A 2,899-nucleotide genomic window follows, 5' to 3' on the forward strand; every position below is an offset into this window, starting at 1 on the left:
TTTAGAATTCCAGCTCTGGCAAATGATTGACTGATCCCAGGGTCCATATCTGTTCCCCAGCTACTTAGTAGGAAGTAGGGTCTCAGATAGGGACCCTCTTGCCCAAACACTGGAAGAATGTCCAAAGGTGCTGATAGCCAATGAAGACTGCCCTGAGTTCATGCATTAGCTACATACTAGAAAGGGAAAGAATTTTCCAACTGGCCAATGAGCCTCAGCTAATCAGAGACTGAGACAAAATTTGAACCCAAGCATTTTGGCTCTCAAAGCTACACTTTTATGTAGTAGAGAATTCTACCAAGATAAGCAAACTTAACCTAAAATTAACAAACTTGTGAGACCTAGACAAATTTAACTCATACACAATTTAAATTTAAATTTAGAGGCATTTTAGTCCTTTATCATAGATTGCACAAAAAACCAGAATTATAGTTTATTATTTTTCTAGCTCTGGAAATACCTGTTTCATTGTTAAAGGAGAAATTAATTCCAAAATGTAGCATTGCTTATAATGACAAAAAAAAAATGAAAACACAATATGCATTGTGAAGGGAATGGATACATAAAATGTGGCATGTTGCTCCCCGGTTCCAAGATGGCCGAATAGGAACAGCTGCAGTCTACAGCTCCCAGCATGAACGATGCAGAAGATGGATGATTTCAGCATTTCCAGCTAAGGTACCGGGTTCATCTCACTGGGGTTTGTCAGACAGTAGGTGCAGGACAGTGGGTGCAGCACACCGAGCGTGAGCCAAAGCAGGGTGAGTCATCGCCTCACCTAGGAAGTGCAGGGGGTCAGGGAATTCCCTTTCTTAGCCAAGGAAAGGGGTGACAGACAGCACCTGGAAAATTGGGTCACTCTCACCCTAATACTCAGCATTTCCAACAGTCTTAGCAAACAGCACACCAGGAGATTATATCCCGCACCTGTCTCAGAGGGTCCCATGCCCACGGAGCCTCACTCATTGCTAGCACTGCAGTCTGAGATCAAACTGCAAGGTGGCAGTGAGGTTGGGGAAGGGGCACCCGCCATTGCTGAGGCTTCAGTAGGTAAACAAAGCGGCCGGGAAGTTCAAACTGGGTGGAGCCCACAGCAGCTCAAGGAGGCCTGCCTGCCTCTGTAGACTCCACCTCTGGAGGCAGGGCATAGCCGAACAAAAGGCAGCAGAAACCTCTGACAGCTTGGAAGACAGTAGCGGTTCTCCCAGCAGGATCAGCTTGAGATCTGAGAACGGACAGACTGCCTCCTCGAGTGGGTCCCTGACCCCCGAGTTGCCTAACTGGGAGGCACCCCCAGTAGGGGCAGACTGACACCTCACACAGCCGGGTACCCCTCTGAGACGAAACTTCCAGAGAACGATCAGGCAGCAACATTTGCTGTTCACCAATATTCGCTATTCTGCAGCCTCTGCTGCTGATACCCAGCCAAACAGCATCTGGAGTGGACCTCCAGCAAACTCCAACAGACCTGCAGCTGAGGGTCCTGACTGTTAGAAGGAAAACTAACAAACAGAAAGGACATCCACACCAAAACCCCATCTGTATGTCACCATCGTCAAAGACCAAAGGTAGATAAAACCACAAAGATGGGGAAATAACAGAGCAGAAAAACTGAAAATTCTAAAAATCAGAGTGCCTCTCCTCCTCCAAAGGAACGCAGCTCCTCGCCAGCAAAGGAACAAAACTGGATGGAGAATGACTCTGACGAGTTGAGAGAAGAAGGCTTCAGATGATCAAACTTCTCTGAGCTAAAGGAGGAAGTTTGAACCCATGGCAAAGAAGTTAAAAACCTTGAAAAAAGATTAGATGAATGGCTAACTAGAATAACCAATGTAGAGAAGTCCTTAAATGACCTGATGGAGCTGAAAACCATGGCACGAGAACTGCGTGACGAATGCACAAGCTTCAGTAACTGATTCGATCAAATGGAAGAAAGGGTTTCAGTGATGGAAGATCAAATGAATGAAATGAAGTGAGAAGAGAAGTTTAGAGAAAAAAGAATAAAAAGAAATGAACAAAGCCTCCAAGAAATATGGGACTATGTGAAAAGACCAAATCTACATCTGATTGGTGTACCTGAAAGTGATGGGGAGAATGGAACCAAGTTGGAAAACACTCTGCAGGATATTATCCAGGAGAACTTTCCCAACCTAGCAAGGCAGGCCAACATTCAAATTCAGGAAATACAGAGAACGCCACAAAGATACTCCTCGAGAAGAGCAACTCCAAGACACATAATTGTCAGATTCACCAAAGTTGAAATGAAGGAAAAAATGTTAAGGGCAGCCAGAGAGAAAGGTCAGGTTACTCACAAAGGGAAGCCCATCAGACCAACACCTGATCTTTCAGCAGAAACTCTACAAGCCAGAAGAGAGTGGGGACCAATATCCAACATTCTTAAAGAAAAGAATTTTCAACCCAGAATTTCATATCCAGACAAACTAAGCTTCATAAGTGAAGGAGAAATAAAATACTTTACAGACAAGCAAATGCTGAGAGATTTTGCCACCACCAGGCCTGCCCTAAAAGAGCTCCTGAAGGAAGCAATAAACATGGAAAGGAACAACCGGTACCAGCCACTGCAAAATCATGCCAAATTGTAAAGACCGTCAATGCTAGGAAGAAACTGCATCAACTAATGAGCAAAATAACCAGCTAACATCATAATGACAGGATCAAATTCACACATAACAATATTAACCTTAAATGTAAATGGGCTAAATGCTCCAATTAAAACACACAGACTGGCAAATTGGATAAAGAGTCAAGACCCATCAGTGTGCTGTATTCAGGAAACCCATCTCACATGCAGAGACAAACATAGGCTCAAAATAAAGGGATGGAGGAAGATCTACCAAGCAAATGGAAAACAAAAAAAGGCAGGGGTTGCAATCCTAGT

The 2,899-nt window shown here is 44.2% G+C and overlaps 1 annotated feature.

Moving 5' to 3' along the window:
• Positions 343 to 1,542: an enhancer, noted in NCBI's record as "BRD4-independent group 4 enhancer chr14:52674645-52675844 (GRCh37/hg19 assembly coordinates)". NCBI's record gives its function as "activates an origin of replication core promoter dependent on BRD2, P300/CBP, MED14 and CDK7 cofactors, and independent of BRD4, by STARR-seq in HCT116 cells {active_cell/tissue: HCT116}" and the evidence as "EXISTENCE:reporter gene assay evidence [ECO:0000049][PMID:35650434]".

The sequence above is a fragment of the Homo sapiens genome, chromosome 14, assembly GCF_000001405.40.
Source record: "Homo sapiens chromosome 14, GRCh38.p14 Primary Assembly".
Taxonomy (NCBI): domain Eukaryota; kingdom Metazoa; phylum Chordata; class Mammalia; order Primates; family Hominidae; genus Homo; species Homo sapiens.